The following is a 16918-nucleotide window of genomic DNA, read 5'->3' as shown; positions in this document are numbered from 1 at the left end:
CACTTTGGGAGGTGGAGGCAGGAGGATCACTTGAGCCCAGGAGTTCAAGACTAGCTCTGGGCAACATGGTGAGATCTCCATCAGCAAAAATTTAAAAAATTAAAAATTAAAAAATGAAAATAAATTAAAAAATTAGCCAGGCCTGGTGGTGCACACCTGTAGTCCCAGCTACTTGGGAGGCTAAGGTGGGAGGATTGCCTGAGCCTGGTAAGTTGAGGTTGCAGTGAGCCGTGATCATGTCACTGTACTTCAGCCTGGGCAATGGAGCAAGGCCCTATCTCAGAAAAAATTATATAAGGAGATTTATTTATCCTCTAATAAATATTTTCTCTGTAAATATCTATATACATTCTGCTGACTATATTTCTCTGGAGAAGCCTAATACACTACATGAAGGCCATTTTGATTTTGATAAGAATTGTACTGAGCACTTTGGGGAGTGTTGCTATCTTAACAATATTAAGTCTTCAGTCCATGAACATGTGATGCTTTCCAATTTATTTAAGTCTTTAGATTCTCTCAGCAATGTTTTATAGTATTCAGAGTTGTCTTATACCTCCTTGGTTAAATGTATTCCTATTTTATTCTTTTTATTCTTTGCTAGTATCTAGAAATACAATTAATTTTTGTGTGGTGATTTTATGACTTGAGATTTTTCTGAACTTCATTAGCTCTGAAAAAGCTCTACTAGGTTCAGGATTTTTTTTTTTCAAGTATGAATTATTTAATATTTCCTACATACAAGATCAGGTTGCTGGGCGCGGTGGGTCATGCCTGTAATCCCAGCACTTTGGGAGGCCGAGGTGGGCGGATCACCTGACGTCAGGAGTTTGAGACCAGCCTGGCCAACATGGCGAAAGCCTGTCTCTACTAAAAATACAAAGATCCGTTGGGCGTGGTGGTGGGTGCCTGTAATCCCACCTGCTGGGGAGGCCGAGGCAGGAGAAGCTCTTGAACTCGGGAGGCGGAGGTTGCAGTGAACCGAGATCGCGCCACTGCACTCCAGCCTGGGCGCCAAAGTGAGACTCCATCTTAAAAAAAAAAAAAAAGAAAAGAAAAAAAGAAAAATCAGGTCGTCTGTGACAAGAGAAAATTGAATGTTTTAACTTTTTGTTTTTTTGTCAGCATCCAAAATCTTTTTAATAAGAGGGTTCGTTTTTGTAGCCTCGGCTGGCCCGTAGGCCTCTGGCGCGCTCGAACTTCTGGTCCCTGGAGCGGAAATAGCGTTTGGTGTGGCTGTGTGGGGTTCCCAGGGCCTTGCCGAAATGCCGGTACACCTGTCGGCCCTTGCGAAGACCGGAGAGTAGGACGGGGCCGCCGTCCTTGAGGGAGTCCAGGGCCAGCTGATCGAAAGTCAGGATCTTGGCCCCCACCCTGAGGATGCCGCTGTGGGCCGGCTGGTCACGGGCAGCGCACACACCTTAAGTTTGGGCACCTCCTGAACCCTCGCGTCATCCGTTAAGCGTCCCCACAACCACGGCCGTTTTGTTTTCCCAGCCAGGAAGCTTCATCTTCCGGATCATCCGGGAAACGGACAGAGGTGGCCGGTTGGTGCGACTCATAAACAACCTCTTCAGCACAACCTGGTTGAATGTGGAGTTAGTTCGTCTGGACGGTAACCTGTACAGCTTGACCAACAAACAGCCTCAGTTAGATATCCTGGCTCTTGGGCTCTTTGCGCCGAACCTTTAGGTCCTTCTTGTGGCGGACGTCAGCTCCCATGATGGCGCTTCCTGCTTGGCCAGGTCCGGAAAGATGAATGTTTAACTTTTTTTTTTTTTTGAGACGGAGTCTCGCTCTGCAGCCCAGGCTGGAGTGCAGTGGCGCGATCTGGGCTCACTGCAAGCTTCGCCTCCCGGGTTCACGCCATTCTCCTGCCTCAGCCTCCTGAGTAACTGGGACTACAGGCTCCCGCCACGACGCCCGGCTAATTTTTTTGTATTTTTAGTAGAGACGGGGTTTCACCGTGTTAGCCAGGATGGTCTCGATCTCCTGACCTCATGATCCGCCCACCCCGGCCTCCCACAGACCTCAACTGATCAGCCTGCCTCGGCCTCCCACAGTGCTGGGATTACAGGCATGAGCCACCGCCCCCAGCCCCTTTTCAGCATTTTCAAAGTACCGACCTAGGTCTTCCTAGGTCTGTACTCCTGAACCCTCATTTCCCACCCCAGATGAGGAAGCTGGCCCCAAGAGATCACCTGAGAGAAGGACTCTCCAGTTTGCCAGAGCTGTCTGTTTTATGTGGCCTGACCCCAGCCAGAGGGACCAGGGACTTCCCCCAGGGTTCTGGCCCCTTCCCATGCCTTTCTTTCACCCTGCCCTTGCCTTGGGCACTGTCCTCTCCCAAACTAGGGGTCCAGGAAGGCTGGGAGTCTTCCCCGTGATGTCATAAGAACCAGTTGCCAGGGGAGACCTGCCAATGTACCCCCTAGGCAGGGGAGAGCAGGGCCCTGCTGCACCCAAGTCCTGGTTGCTCCTCCCCACCACACTGGCCCTCCATGGAAGCCTTGGTCTGTGCATTTTCTGAGCTGCACATAAGAGAAGGTGCCGGGCTGTGGGGAGGAGTGGCAGGAAGAGAGATAGGCTTCTGTCCCCACCTGGGCCCAAAGCCGAGGGGTGGCCTCAGGGACATGTATGCTTGGGAGAGGGGAATGGCCACTGGGCCAGGCCATGAGCCCCTGGGCTGGCCACTTTCTCTCAAACCCACTGTGCAATTTCTCTGTGGGGACCAGAATACTCTTCCTAGGGTAGCGGGCAGAACAGGGTAGTAGAAAGGACTTGAGGTCCTGAAAGCACTCTTAGTACCAAGGCCCGAGGCTTCCCAGGCCTCCCTGTTGGTTGGGAGTGGGAAGAGGAGTCGTGTCTTGGGCATGGGCAGGGGAGGCAGTGGACTGAGACTATTTGACACACAGGTAAACTGAGGCCAGGTTGGCTGGGGGTGTAGCCCATCATGTGAGCTGGTCTCAGAGGTATGTGACTGCACCCTCCCCTCATGGCTGCTGTGGGGGGCTGGCCACCACCCTCCCGCTGTCTCCTCTGCAGATGCAGTGAGCCAGGCCCAAGGACGCCCCGGCCACCCTGACGCACCCCCCAACATCTACGAGGGGGGCCTGGGGTCCCCGCAGCCGCAGTGCCCCAGTGCCCAGGGAAGCAAGCCCAAGAACTTCCGGCTGCGCCACCTCCGGGGCCTGGGCCTCTACCTGGAGAGCCACCCGCCACCCACTGGCCAGTGTGAGAGCCACTGGCTGGGCCGGCTTATGGCTGGGGGCTGCCTGCCACAGCCTGAGGGCACAGCCTGGGCCCTGGACCTGCCACAGGGGACTCTGGGCCCACGTAACAGCCTCTGTTCAGCCCTTCTGGAAGCCCGATTGCCCAGGGACAGCCTGGGAAGCAGTGGTGAGCTCTGTCAAGGCAGGACTGGGCACGGGGGAAGACCCTAGGGGATGGTTGGGCTGGGGCCTCAGGCGGGCCCTTCTCCACTCCCAAGCCTCCACAGTGGCACCATGCCCCAGAAGGCCAAGATCTTGATGAATCTGTCCCCATCTCTGCATCACGCACAGCTAAGCGGGGTCTGGAGAATCCACCAGGGACAAAGCGGTGCGAGAAAAAGGGAGGATCTGGGAGGGAGGGCTGGGTGACTGCCCCAGCTCCACACTCGGTGAGGGGCCTTGGAATCTGTCTCCCTTGCTGGGCCTCAGTTTTCTCACTTGTAAAATGAGGGTTCAGGTTAGATGAGGGTCCTTCCAGCTTGAACCATTCTGTTCCCTCAACCTCCTCCCTCCCCTGGGGATTCTGTTAAGGAGGAAGCATTGCCCTCCTCCCTTCTGTTTTCAAGAATATCGGATTCTGGAAACCCCAGGGTGGGCTGCCAGCCTCCCCCCCAGCCTCCCCTTGGGTCCCTCAAGTGACTCCTTTCTCTCCTCTTTCCTCAGCTTCCAGTTCCAGCATGGACCCAGACAAGGGTGCCCTCCCCCAGCCTAGTCCTTCTAGGCTCAGGCCCAAGAGGTCCTGGGGGACCTGGGAAGAGGCCATGTGTCCCTTGTGCAAGAGAACCCGCTCTGGGGCCCTGGAGAGGCCATAGGGATCCCGAGTGCCAGGACTGGGTACAGGAGGGGCAGGATGGCCGAGGAGGCAGCCTGAGCAGGAGGGGCTCGGCCCCCGGCAGTGGCCCTGCCACATGGGGTGGCCCAGGCAGCGGCCCAGCGCCCAGGCCTGGGCCTCGGGAGAATGTGATGGGGAGAGGGAGGAGGAGGAGGTTCCGAGGGAGGGGCAGAAGCAATAGAAGCATGGCCGTGCCCTTGCAGCCTGCTTAGACTCCAGTCAGCCACTTGTACCTGGGAGGCCGGGCTGAGTGCAGAATCAGGCCCCCCCGCCACCGCCTCCCTGAGAGGCCGGGGAGCCCACAGCTCTGATCTCAATAAAAGCCAAGGCCTGCACGTTCTTGTCCATCTGCCTGTCTGTCATCAGGCCAGTTTGGTGAGAAAAACAGTCCTGTGTCTCTCCAGGGATGGGTCTGCCGCGCCCCCACTCTTAGTTGCCAGGGCATGAGAGGCGTGAGCTAGGGCAAGGGCCTGTGGGAACACCATACTTGTCTGTGAGAGCTTCCTGGATGAGACACTGCTGAGCTTGGCTCCATAGGGTGGGTAGGGGCTCAACAGCCCACCTTTTCAGCCACCATGCCTGGCTAATTTTCTTTTCTTTTTTTTTTTGAGATGCAGTCTAGAACTGTCTAGAGGCCAATTTAGAGCCAGTTTTCTTTGGGGCCAGCATGTGGCTGCAGCAGATGTCCTTCTCAGGGGTGAGATCCTGGCTACGGCTGTCTGTGGCTGAGTTACAGACTGTCTTTTTTTTTTTTTTTTTTTTGAGACGGAGTCTTGCTCTGTGGCCCAGGCTGGAGTGCAGTGGTGCAATCTCGGCTCACTTCAAGCTCCAACTCCCAGGTTCACGCCATTCTCCTGCCTCAGCCTCCCGAGTAGCTGGGACTATAGGCGCCCGCCACCGCGCCCGGCTAATTTATTTGTATTTTTTTAGTAGAGACGGGGTTTCACCGTGTTAGCCAAGATGATCTCCATCTCCTGACCTCAGCCTCCCAAAGTGCTGGGATTACAGGCGTGAGCCGCCGTGCCCGGCCTAATTTTCTGTTGTTTTAAGAGTTGGGGGGAGGGGGTCCTGCTGTTGCCCAGGCTGGTCTCAAACTCCTGAGCTCAAGTGATCCTCCTGCCTCAGGAGGATCCTAAATGCAGGCCATGGCATTGTGGGTGGAGGGCGCAGCGGATGAAGGAAGGCAGGGCGGGGTCAGGGAGGGCACCAGGGAGGACAGCAGCAGAGGCAGGGATGTGGACCTCGGCCCCACCTGCCCCCTACCAGGTGAGGTCACTGCTCCGCGGGACCCCAGCTCCCAGGTCCCTCTGGGCAGGATGAGCACAGCCCTTCTCCTCCCAGCCGGACCAGACTCTGCGCACCCAGGTGTGGGCTTCCTCTGTGCCGGGGTGTCTCCACTCGACTCTGTTGATGTTTGGGATGGGATCTTTCTTTGGGATGGAGGCTGTCCTGTGCATGTAGGATGTTAAGCAGCATCTCTGGCCACCACCCACTTGGTATCTGTAGCACCCTCCTCTAAGCTGTGACAGCAAGTGTCTCCAGACATTGTCCGGTGTCCCTCGGGAGCACTGTTACTGTGGATGAGAAGCCTGCTGATACAGTTAGGCTGTGTCCCCACCCAAATTTCATCTCCAATTGTAATCCCCATGTGTTGAGGGAGGGTTCTCATGGGAGGTGATTGGATCATGGGGTGGGGGGTGGGGGGTTCCGCCATGCTGCTCTCATGATAGTGAGTTATCACAAGATCTGATGGTTTAAAAGTGTTTGGCGGTGGGCCAGGTGCAGTGGCTCACGCCTGTAATGCCAACACTTTGGGAGGCTGAGGCGGGCGGATCACAAGGTCAGGAGATCAAGACCATCCTGGCTAACACGGTGAAACACTGTCTGTACTAAAAATACAAAAATTAGCCGGGCATGGTGGCAGCTGCCTGTAGTCCCAGCTACTCAGGAGGCTGAGGCAGGAGAATGGCATGAACCCGGGAGGCAGAGCTTGCAGTGAGCCGAGATTGTGCCACTGCACTCCAGCCTGGGTGATAGAGTGAGACTCTTGTCTCAAAAAAAGAAAAAAATAATAAAATGTGTTTGGCAGTTCCACCCTTCCTCCCCACCACCGCCTCTCTCTCTCTCTGTCCTGCCGCCTTGCCAAGAAGGTGCCTGCTTCCCCTTTGCCTTCCATGGTGATTGTAAGTTTCCTGAGGCCTCCCAGACACCTGGAACGCTGAATCAATTAAACCTCTTTTGTTTATAAATAACCCAGTCTCAGGAAGCAGTGTCAAGACGGACTAACACACTTGTTCTATTCCACCAGGTCTCCATCCTATGGGAAGAAGACGGGAGCACCTGGGTTTGCCTCAGTGACCTTCCCGTCTGGTCACTCCAGCCGGTGCAGCCCGGGTCAGGCTAGGGCTCAGCGCCACCCCTGCTTTGGGCTCCTGCCAGGTCGCATGTGACGTGCCCAGGACAGCCAGGCTCCTTCCCTTCTCCTGTACCCACCCTGGACAGTTCTTGTGTCCCTGGGACAGCAGATCCTGGAGACTTCAGTCCTTGGGTGGTTTTATGGGTTGTTCTAAGTATGCAGGCATGGCCCGGGGTGGGGGACACCCAAGGCTGTAGCGGTCCCCAGGAGGGGGAGCTCTGAGAGAGCAGGTGTTTACATGCTGCACCCAAGAGCAGCTGTGATGGGGCAGGTGTGGGTGGGATGCAGCGGGCCTGAGGTCCACTGATGAGTCACATGGGGTGGCGGAGGGGCAGCTGCCTTCTCTCTCTCCCACAACACTCATTCCCCAGAGACGCAGAGGCCAGGTGGATCCAAGAGACCACTTAAAGACTGACATTAGGGAGGCTGCTGAGTAAACATGGAAGGACGCCTGCACCAGCCACCAGCTGCGGACGCTGGGCATAACTGAGGCCGCACAGAGGCCAGCAATACAAAGTCCTTGGAGCTTGGAGACCGTTAGGGGCCTAATCCACTTTTTTTCCCCTTTTCTTTTTTTTGAGACAGTGTCTCACTGTCTCCCAGCCTGGAGTGCAGTAGCATGATCTTAACTCACTGCAGCCTTGAACTCCTGGCCTCAAGTGATCTTCCTGCCTCAGCCTCCTGAGTAGCTGGAACCAAAGGCAGTTGCCACCATGTCCAGCTAATTACAAACTTTTTTTTGGTAGAGAAAGGGTCTTGCTATGTTGCCCCTGGTCTCCAACTCCCAGCCTCAAGCAATGCTCCCGCCTCCACCTCCTAAAGTGCTGGGATTATAGGTGAGGCTCCACGCTGGGCCCTATGTTTAACAATCATAGCTCACTGCAGCCTTGAGCTCCTGAGCCAAGTGACCCTACCATCTCAGCCTCCTGAGTAGCAGAGACTACAGGCGTGGGCCACCACCATGCCCAGCTTTTTTTTTTTTTTTTTTTTTTTTTTTTTTTTTTTGAGACGGAGTCTTGCTCTGTCGCCCAGGCAGGAGTGCAGTGGCATGATCTCGGCTCACTGCAACCTCCGCCTCCTGGGTTCACCATTGTCCTGCCTCAGCCTCCTGAGTAGCTGGGACTACAGGCGCCCGCCACCACGCCCGGCTAATTTTTTGTATTTTTAATAGAGATGGGGTTTCACCGTGTTAGGCAGAATGGTCTCGATCTCCTGACCTCGTGATCTGCCCTCCTCGGCCTCCCAAAGTGTTGGGATTACCAGTGTGAGCCACCGCGCCTGGCCGATTTTCTATTTTTTTAAGAGATGAGGGTCTCACTATGTTTCCCAGGCTGGTCTTGAACCCCTGAGCTTAAGAGATCCTCCCACCTTGGCCTCCTGAAGTACTGGGATTACAGGCATCAGCCACCGCACCTGGACTCCACTCACTTCTGAACAAAGAGTGGAGGCTCAGAGAGGAGCACAGGTTGCCCCAGGCTCCAGATTTTGGGTGGGTGGGGGGGGGGGTCCCAGGCTATGGTCAGTGGCCCTTCTGCTACCCCGGATGAGCCACGTGTCTTCGTGTTCTGGCCCCTGTGTAGCCCCCTCCCCTTGAATTGGGACAGGCTCCAGATCCTGCTTTACCAGTAGAATGTGGCAGAAGTGGCGGGGTGTCACTTCTGGGCAGTAAGGAAGCCTGGCAGCTTCCCAGGAGGTCAGTGGCCCCGTAAGGAGTCTACCCTGGGACTGTGGTATGGTGCAAAACCAGCCTAGCCTGAGGAAGCCATGGAAGGAAGGAGCCAAGCCCATGGCCACTGCTGAGCTCACTGTGGGCAGCCCTGTGGGTAGGGCCATCTTTCACACAGGTCCTCCAGCCCCGCCAGCCTGCCTGGCTAATACCACATGGAGTCCCTGCTGACTCCTGTCCCAGCTGGAATTGGAAGCAAACAGAATGGCCCCTGCTTAGGCTGTGAAGCTTTAAGACAGTCTGTTACTCCGGCAGGCACGGTGGCTCATGCCTGTAATCCCAGCACTTTGGGAGGCCGAGGTGGGCAGATCACGAGGTCAGGAGATCGAGACCATCCTGGCTAACACGGTGAAACCCCATCTCTACTAAAAATACAAAAAAAATTAGCCAGGCATGGTGGCGGGCCCCTGTAGTCCCAGCTACTCCAGAGGCTGAGGCGGGAGAATGGTGTGAACCCGGGAGGCGGAGCTTGCAGTGAGCCGAGATCACGCCACTGGACGCCAGTTTGGGGGAGAGAGCAGGTTCCGTTTCAAAAAAAAAAAAAAAAAAAAAAAAAAAAAAAAAGACAGTCTGTAACTCAGCCACAGACAGCTGTAGCCAGGATCTTACCCGAGAGGACATCTGCTGCAGCCACATGCTGGCCCCAAAGAAAACTGGCCCTAAATTGGCCTCTAGACAGTCCCTCCCGCAAAACCTCCCAAAGCCTTTTTGAGAAGCACTCCAACAGACTGAGAGGCAAAAAAGCCACAATCATGGCACGCTGGGGTGGGAGTCGATGTGGAGAAAGCAGCACTTGGCCTGAGCAAGCGGACGCTCATGAAAATACACATTGACCTCAGCCGGACGCGGTGGCTCATGCCTGTAATCCCAGCACTTTGGGAGGCCGAGGCGGGCGGATCACGCGGTCAGGAGATCGAGACCATCCTGGCTAACATGGTGAAACCCCGTCTCTACTAAAAATACAAAAAAATAGCCGGGCATGGTGGCAGGCGCCTGTTGTACCAGCTACTCGGGAGGCTGAGACAGGAGAATGGCGTGAACCCGGGAGGCCAAGCTGGCAGTGAGCCAAGATCTCACTCTGTTACCCAGGCTGGAGTGCAAACAGAATGAGATTCCATCTCAAAAAAAAAAAAAAAAAAGAAAATACACTGACCATCCCTGGGCACGCCCCTTACCCCGTGAGTCCCTGAACGCCGGTGGGCTAGGAATGGAAGACCAGGAGTCTGTCTCCGTCCTGAAAGTATGAAGGACCCCTACCCTATAGGAGATCCTTGGGTGGTGTGTGCAGGGAGCGGGGAGACCCAAGGCTGCCTCGGGCTCCACCCCTGAGCAGGCCTGGGGCAGAGCCAGCTCCGTTCAGGGCTGGCCTCCGTGCTATGTCCAGGTGCATCCTGTGTGTGTCCTACCTCTCCCTGGGTCCCACACTCCCTTTCTGCCCCCCAGTGGAGCACGAGCGTTTGTGTCCCAGCTCTGCGGTCCGGTGGGGCTATGGTGAGAGGCCTGGAGCAGTGGCAGTCCTGCCTGGCCTCACTGAAGCAGGGCCTGAGGAGCCGCAGCCCCACCTGGGCAAGTTACTAACTGGTCACACGATTGACCAAGGGCCCCAAAGAGTTACCCTCTTAACCGCAAGCTGACTCATCAGCAAAGGTGCAACTGTCCTTGCTGGAGTAACCAAGACTGTGTCTCCCCAGCAGACGCTCCCGTGGGCAAGCTCAGCGGGTTAATCTGGTTTCACTCACCCCATGGCTTTGGACATGGGTCCAGCGCGCCCAGCTGCCTGGCCTCCCAGGGCACCAGCGTCCACCCCTACTCCATCTTGCAGATGCTTCAGACCCTCTCCTGGGAGGACCCTCGGCAAGTTGCATGTCTCCCGGCCACTGGATGAGGTCAAAGGCACAGGAATGGTGTAACAGAGCAGCCACGCAGGCTTCAGAGTGGCCCAGGCCTGGGCCCAACACTCACAAACTGTGGCTCCTTGGTAACTCCCAGCCCCCGAGCCAGTTCTCCTCATCTCTAAGAGGAACAATATCATCCCTTGAGGGTGACCAGAAGTTTCCATGAGAGGCTGACGGAAGCACCAGGTCTGTGCTGGGTGGGCACGCACCTCAGGCTCCACAGCAGGGTGCACCAAATCACCCTTGGAGCCGCCTGCCTGGACTGGGCCCCAGCTCAAGGCCTACAGCCAGGGAGATGCCCAGACAGGGCAGCTGCTGGGGACCTTCCAGTGAAAAAAGGACCTAATGTGCTTCTCAACTCTAGAACCTCTTCCCCAGTTTCACATTCTTTTTCTGGAGTCTCGCTCTGTCACCAGGCTGGAGTGCAATGGCGCCATCTCAGCTCACTGTAACCTCCGCCTCCTGGGTTCAAGCTCTCCTGCCTCAGGCTCCCGAGTAGCTGGGGCTACACGTGCACACCACCACGCCCGGCTAATTTTTGTATTTTAGTAGAGATGAGGTTTCACCATGTTGGCCAGGCTGGTCTCGATCTGACCTCGTGATCCGCCCACTTCGGCCTCCCAAAGTGCTAGAATTACAGGCGTGAGCCACCGTGCCTGGCCAAAGGTCCTCATTCTCTGACAGGGTTAATCACACAAAACCACTGTCCCCTTTATCTGGAAGCCATCCTTGGGCCTTGCCAGTGACAAGTAGCTCGAGGCCAACTTCAGCTACAGGGTGAGGCCCGAGGTGCAGCCAGGCGGGTGCGGGAAACAGGATGTGACGAACTCCAATGAAAGTCTATTTATTTGCTCGTAATGAGACAGAACGCTACAATCTGTTCAACACTGGGCTGGACACTGCAGTGATCAGGGGCAGGTGTGGGGCAGGGTGGGGCCTCTGAGCCCGAGGACAAATGTCCATGGCAGAGCCTTCCAGAAGACTCGTCCCTTACCCTGTGGGGCAGAAATAGAAATCACATGATCGCCACTGATTCGCAGTGGAGAGGGCGCTGAGCTGGGCCCGGCAGGCAGGCAGCCTCAGCAGAGATTCAGGCAGTCAGCATGGTGCGGCCCTCCCGCCAGCACTGTCAGGTCAGCAGAGGTTCAAGCAGTCAGCATGGCGCGGCCCTCCTGCCAGCACCGTCAAGGAGGGGGATGCTGCTCCTGCCTGGTGCCTGCCTTCATTCTGAGGGCCCCTGGCCCCAGCTGAGTTCAAGAGGGGACCTGGGGCTGCCCCAGCACCCTGAGAGCCCGTGGCTGGGCAGCTCTGGAGGCGGAAGGACACAGGTCCCTGAGGCCCCGTCTGCCCAGGGTTGTTCCTCCCTCTCCCTCCTCCTCAGGCTGGGGCAGGGTGGCGCCGCTAGGACCCTCTGCCATGGCTTTGTGACACTGCAGCTATGCTGGGCGGGACTCCGCCCCCCACCCCACCCCTGCATCGGAGGGCAGGGCAGGCAGCAAGCAGCATTTGGAATGCAGGGTGGAGAGGATGCTAGAAGTATGTGATGCACCTGCGGCACTGACAGCATCTCTGCCCTCAGAGGCTGAGGGCCCACAAGGCACAGGACTGCCCCCTGCCCACAAGGCCAGGCCCTACAAGACAGATGGCAGCCTTGAGGCCTAATGTCGAGCTCAGCTTCCTCCTGTCTGCATGTGGCCAGGCCTTGGAGCAGCAGCTTGTGGCAGCATGAGGGAGGGCGGGGAGGACCCAAGGAGTCTCGGCGATGCCTGTCCTCAGCAGGTCAGCTGAATGGAGCATGCCAAGGTCCGACGGGCAGTGTGACCTCCCAGGGCACTGGTAACTGCACGGAAGGTGCTGAGGAGTAGGAACCGTCCTGATGCGTGACCGCCTGTGCCAGGGGGCTGAGCCTCAGAGCTCTGTGCTTGCGAGGAAAGCCTCCCCCAGGCTGCCCACCCCTCATCAGCCCCTCATGGAGGAGTGGGGGCCACTCCTCACCCCCCAGGCTTCTTTGGGCTGGTTCTGGAAGGGGACGGGCCATTCCCTTTATTGCGCCCCCTTGTTCCGAGGCTCCTGTGCCTTTACGGTCAAGTGTGTCCATAATACTTGCGTTCCTCCCTTGCAGGAGAAAGTCCCCTCCAGCTTTCCAGGAAGGAGCTGCAAGAACAGGCAGCGGAGTGGGAGAGGCCCAGTGAGGGCAGGCCCCTCCCAGTGAATGCAGCCACACTGGGTCAGCCCTGGGGACGGTGCATGCGCAGGGGGGCAGGGCCAGGGCAGCAGGCAGAGGTTTCCAGAAGCAGGGAGGGGAGCTGAAGAGCCTGTGGGAAAGAGAAGAGCAGGGCAGGGTGAAGGCCCGGCGGAGACACTCTGCCCACCCCACACCCTGCCTATGGGCCACACAGCTGGGCCTGGGTGCTCCAGGAGCATGAGCCCTTCTCCAGGCCATGGTGTCTGCCTGCAGCCACTAGGCGCCTCTCGGTCCCCACACAAATAAAGGCACTGATGGATCCAAAGTCGGGTGCACAGCCCAGTTGCCATGGAGCCTGCTGTGTTAGCTTGGCACAAGTCACCAAACCTCTGGGCTGTGCTGGTGCATAAGGTGGTGGACTCTGCAGTCCCCACGGCCCCTTCCGGCTCTGCCGTTCTCTGTGCCCATCCAGGGCCTTCCACTTTTGTGGCTGGAGGCACCAAGCTCCCATACCTTTGTGTCTGCTGTGGCGTACCTGCCACGGATGGGCATGCTCTGCGCATGCCCACGATGTTCTGTTCCCGAGCCCGTGTAGCACCGGGCCTGCAGCTGGGGCAGGCCGACGAGCCCAGTTAGATGGCTGGCAGCTCCTTGCAGAAAACAGAAGGGGTCAGATGGACAGGAAGGCGGGCTCTGCGGGCGGCCGAAGGGTGGGGCCTGGTGGCGGCTGCCCAGCCGACATCACATGGTCCGGCTGTACTCGATGCCACTCTTGGAAGAGATGCCCGACCATGGCAGGAAGCTGCAGAGCAGGCTGTGGGCCTGGCGGTAGACTCTGTGCGGAATGGAGCAGGGGCTCAGGCTGGCTAGTGCAGAGCCCAGGTGCTGGATGTAGTCCGTGGGGCTCTGTTAAGGAAGATTCCGACTTGCCCTGACCACGCTCGCCAGGGCACAGTCATCAGGGGCCCGCGCAGTGGCCTGTGGGACTGTGTGCAGATGGCAAGCCAGGCTTCGGAGGCTGAGAGCCCGCTAAGCCTCTGCAGAGCTGGAAAGGCTCATGAGACGAAGTGGCCTCTGCTGTGCAAAACAACAGAGGGTGGGGTCTGGGGACAGAAGGGCCTTCTGAGTGAGGCAGCAGGCATGTGGACACCACACCCAGGGATGCACGGGGGGTGGGGAAGGGGCCTGGCAGAAGGGCAGGTGCTTCTGGTTCTCCCTAGATTCTCAACCTTTGTGGCAGCAAGAGGGACAGAGCCCTGTCCATATGACAAGGAGGGGGTCAACAGTGCTGACCCCCTGGATGCCTGTCTTCACATAAGCTAGACGGCCTGTGGAGTGTGGGGTCACCCCTCTCTTTCCTGCTTATTATTCTATGTAATGAATAAATCCTAGACTCATGAATTTGAAAACACACACACACACGCACAGCATTTTTTTGGGCCACATTCTGACTATTATAAAGTTTCCTGGCTTCCCTCTGACCTGTCAGGGGCCAGTGAAAGTTAAGGAGGAAGAAGCAGGGAAGGGCATACCTTTGGGTCATGCATCCTATAAGGAAGGTTTGAACCCAAGTATTCAAAAAAAGTAAAAATCTCTTCTCTCCGCACTTGTTTCCCCTCTGCTAGCACAGGCTCTGGGAGGACAGGGGATCCTGTCCGTTTTGTGCACTGCTGATCCCCAGTGCAAGTGGAGCAGGAGGCTCTCCAGCTGGGTGCAGGGCTCATGCCTATAATCCCAGTAATTTGGGAGGCTGCGGCAGGCGGATCATTTGAGCTTAGGAGTTCGAGACCAGCCTGGGCAACATGGTAATATGTGCAACTCGATTTACCCAAATGTGTGTCAGGTTTACCCACAACACGATCAGGTAAGGGAGAGAAGCATCCATAAGCTTGGCCACCTGAACATCATCTGAGGGGGACCACAGCTCCAACTTGCTCACTGGCTCTGCCACCTTATGGACAGGAAGCCACAGTCCCTCTCCCCCAGAAGTTAAGGATATAAAATCGTCCAGGGAGGGTGGCCGCCGTTGATGTAGAGGACATAGGTGAAGCCATCTTTGAGGACCCCTCGAATGGAGTAGTAATAGGGGAGATAGTGGTGCTGCTTGAAGTCTCTGTTTTCATAGAAGTTTATTGCTGTGTTGTTGGTGGTGAGGACATGCAGGTAAATGGCTTTGCAGTGGTCCTGGGCGGTGGTTGATATGTGATCCTTTAAACTTTCAAGTAAGAGGGAACCTTGGGGAGAAGAGGTAAAGGTAATGCAGGCAGAGCAGTTAGGAAGGAAGGATGACTGGGCTAGGATGGGGGCTTTGCATGAGTCTCTCGGAGATGTCTCGGCCCACCGTATCAGAGACCAGCCTTTCTTCACCACCACTGTCAAAGTCCCTAAAATCTCATGGCCAGATGGAGCCTGGTAGCTACAGACTGCTGGGAGGGACTGCAGAGGTGGCCTGGTAGCGCCCTCCCATGGGCTGGGCCCGCATGGAGACTCCCTTTCAGACAACAAACAGGGTAAATGTGAGCCCAGGAAAACATGGACTAGATGGGCCTGGGTTTAAAATTAATTAAGACTCTGCCGCTCACTGGCCGTGTGGCCGAGTGGGGTGGGACATCGGAGAAACGGTGAGTGTTGCTTCCTCGTGCGTGTTCACGCTTTCTACTCTGAATCGTGAGCAGTGAATACACGAGTTGTGCGTGTGGCGGCAGCAGAAGTGAGAGGTGCCAGTTTCCTCAGCTCCATCCTGGGGGCTGAGCGAGGCTGCAGCAGAAAGGCCTGGGGGCATGTGGAAAGAGGATGGCTGAAGGTGGTGGGTGTGCTGGCAGGGGAGGGATGATGAAGGTCTGGCCCAAGACGGGAACGAGGATGGAAGATGAGACTGAGGGATGTTCACGAGCCAGAGTTGTTGGGGCCAGGGAAGAGACTGGGTGCAGATGGGATGGGGGTGGGGTAGGGCAAGGGGGTGGGGTGGGCGCCAAGCCGCGGGCCCGGCTGCCCTTACCTATGCCGTGCTTCCTGAACTCTTTCACGACGCCCAGACTTAGGATGTACGCGACTTGTGTGTCAACAGAGAAGTTGGATGCTAGAATATCTCCATCCTAGAGGAAGAGTCAGAGAGAAAGTCAGGCTCACACGTCTGGTGCACGGCTCACTGCACAGCCCGGCCCAGGCGGGCTCCGCACCGACTTCCCACGACAGCCAGAGGGACACCGACTGGGAGGGGCAGAATCAAGAGGTACTGGAGAGGGGCCCCCACTCCCCAAGGAAATGAGAGCGTTTATGCCCTTCTGGTGAAAAACAGCTGAAAAGAAGAACACACACAAAAGGAGCTTCTCCTAGGGGTGTGTGGGAGGCCTAGCCAAGGACGGGAATGAGGCTCTGATGCCAGCACAAGGTAAAGTTATGGCATGAAGGCAGCAACTACACAGCACCACGCGGGCCTCATGGGAATGCACGCATGTCACCTGGTAGGCCTGGATGCAGGACAGTGGACAAATGCAAAGTTTTAGAGGTTCAGTTAAAGAATCGCACGCTGCCCCAGGTGATCTTGGAGGAGTGAGACTTGGGCGGCCGTCCAACCCCTTCTGCTGCCCCCACAGGCAGAGGACACCGCCACACCTGCGTAAAGCCACCCACCATCTCTTGGTTCTAGAGATGGAATTCCGGGTGGGAGTCATGAATCTGATCAGCATGAGGCTCTTATCATCTTCCAACTCGTAAAGAACAAGAAGGCCTTTCTGCTCCCACGTGCTGGGCTGGGGTCAGCCTGTCCAGGCTCCCTGCTCTCCCAGCCCTCTTCAAGCCACAGTTCACCCAGATATGTCAGTCCAGGGAGGAAGGCGTCCTTATCACTCTTGTTACTCCAGGCCTGCAGGAAGGGTGTCTGTTCCCCAGCTGACATCTCTTAACAGGGTCTACTTTGCCCTGACCTTGAACTCACTAAGCCTGAGAGGAAGGGGCCAGATGAATGAGTGCCAGCGTGCAGGCCAGAGGGCCCTCTACTGAGAGCCGGGAACATGAGCCAAAGGGTCCCCATGTCGGCCTCGAGGGAACACAAACACATTCCAGAGGAGGAAGAGACCCAGCCGCCACCTGGGGGCAGGCACACAGTCACCAGGGGGCACTCAGGAAAGCCACCCGGAGGGGGATGGGGTTCAGGGGAATGAGTCATTGGGGGAAGGGGGGGACCACGTGTCCCATTAACAAGAGAGATCAGGCTGGGCACGGTGGCTCACACCTGTAATCCTAGCACTCCCGCGAGGCAGGCGGATCACTTGAGGCCAGGGATTCCAGATCAGCATGGCCAACATGGTGAAACCCCATCTCCACTAAAAATACAAAAATTAGCTTGGTGTGGTGGCGCACGTCTAAAATCCTACTTGAGAGGCGGAGGTTGCAGTGAGCCGGGATCAGGATCGCATCACTGCACTCCACCCTGGGTGATAGTGAGACTCCGTTTCAATAAAAAAAAAAGAGGAGAGAAAAGAATGTTGACACTTGCTTTCTGCTACATCTTAGCTCTTAAAAATCAAAGAAAAAAGCTCAGGAGGAAGCTAGGGCAGAAAAAGTGACTCAGGAGAAAAAAGCTGTGCCAG

At 56.6% G+C, this 16918-nt stretch overlaps 3 protein-coding genes, 1 non-coding gene and 1 pseudogene across 19 annotated transcripts in view, besides 2 other annotated features; 2 read left to right on the top strand and 3 right to left on the bottom strand.

The window, feature by feature from the left end:
- The window catches only part of CLUAP1 (clusterin associated protein 1), a 43622-nt gene extending 41126 nt beyond the window's left edge, over positions 1 to 2496 (bottom strand). The window contains exon 1 of one of the 3 annotated variants that reach the window (XM_047433797.1): positions 2202 to 2496. In XM_047433797.1, the coding sequence (XP_047289753.1) occupies positions 2202 to 2304 (103 nt within the window). In that variant the 5' untranslated portion in view covers positions 2305 to 2496. The remainder of the gene's footprint in view (positions 1 to 2201) is intronic. The other 2 variants (XM_047433800.1, XM_047433798.1) reach the window with 2 other exon arrangements.
- Positions 1120 to 1756, bottom strand: RPL18P12 (ribosomal protein L18 pseudogene 12; annotated as a pseudogene).
- C16orf90 (chromosome 16 open reading frame 90) lies at positions 1271 to 4439 on the top strand. 6 transcript variants are annotated; one of them, NM_001353384.1, is made up of 3 exons: positions 1271 to 1547; positions 3046 to 3399; positions 3936 to 4439. In NM_001353384.1, exons 2-3 carry the CDS (start codon positions 3261 to 3263, stop codon positions 4082 to 4084), a joined length of 288 nt encoding a protein of 95 aa, NP_001340313.1. In that variant the 5' UTR covers positions 1271 to 1547; positions 3046 to 3260; the 3' UTR covers positions 4085 to 4439. The 6 variants fall into 6 exon arrangements, with proteins under 6 accessions (NP_001340313.1, NP_001340312.1, NP_001340311.1 ...); NM_001353383.1 differs by having other exon boundaries at positions 1271 to 1615; NM_001353382.1 differs by having other exon boundaries at positions 1271 to 1745.
- Positions 4666 to 4875: a silencer, noted in NCBI's record as "fragment chr16:3543048-3543257 (GRCh37/hg19 assembly coordinates)". NCBI's record gives its function as "represses an EF-1alpha promoter that drives an FKBP-Casp9 reporter gene in an ReSE screen in K562 erythroleukemia cells {active_cell/tissue: K562}" and the evidence as "EXISTENCE:reporter gene assay evidence [ECO:0000049][PMID:32094911]".
- Positions 9540 to 9834: an enhancer, noted in NCBI's record as "tiled region #11363; HepG2 Activating DNase matched - State 12:CtcfO". NCBI's record gives its function as "activates a minimal TATA promoter and a strong SV40 promoter by Sharpr-MPRA in HepG2 cells {active_cell/tissue: HepG2}" and the evidence as "EXISTENCE:reporter gene assay evidence [ECO:0000049][PMID:27701403]".
- NAA60 (N-alpha-acetyltransferase 60, NatF catalytic subunit) overlaps positions 10960 to 16918 on the bottom strand; it is a 43353-nt gene continuing 37394 nt past the window's right edge. For 2 of the 9 annotated variants that reach the window (NM_001083601.3, NM_001083600.3), the window contains 4 exons: positions 15325 to 15421; positions 14326 to 14560; positions 12862 to 13224; positions 10970 to 12456 (listed from right to left, as the gene is read on the bottom strand). In NM_001083601.3, the coding sequence (NP_001077070.1) occupies positions 13068 to 13224; positions 14326 to 14560; positions 15325 to 15421 (489 nt within the window). In that variant the 3' untranslated portion in view covers positions 10970 to 12456; positions 12862 to 13067. Of the gene's footprint in view, positions 13233 to 14325; positions 14561 to 15324; positions 15422 to 16918 lie in introns of all 9 variants that reach the window. The other 7 variants (NM_024845.4, NM_001317095.2, NM_001317093.1 and 4 more) reach the window with 6 other exon arrangements.
- Positions 12454 to 12542, top strand: MIR6126 (microRNA 6126). The gene has a single exon (NR_106741.1). It is a non-coding gene; the product is annotated as a microRNA 6126 (primary transcript).

This window comes from Homo sapiens, chromosome 16 (genome assembly GCF_000001405.40).
Source record: "Homo sapiens chromosome 16, GRCh38.p14 Primary Assembly".
NCBI lineage: Eukaryota > Metazoa > Chordata > Mammalia > Primates > Hominidae > Homo > Homo sapiens.
Note: the sequence above shows the minus strand (reverse complement) of the source record. Positions and strands in the feature narration are given on the sequence as shown.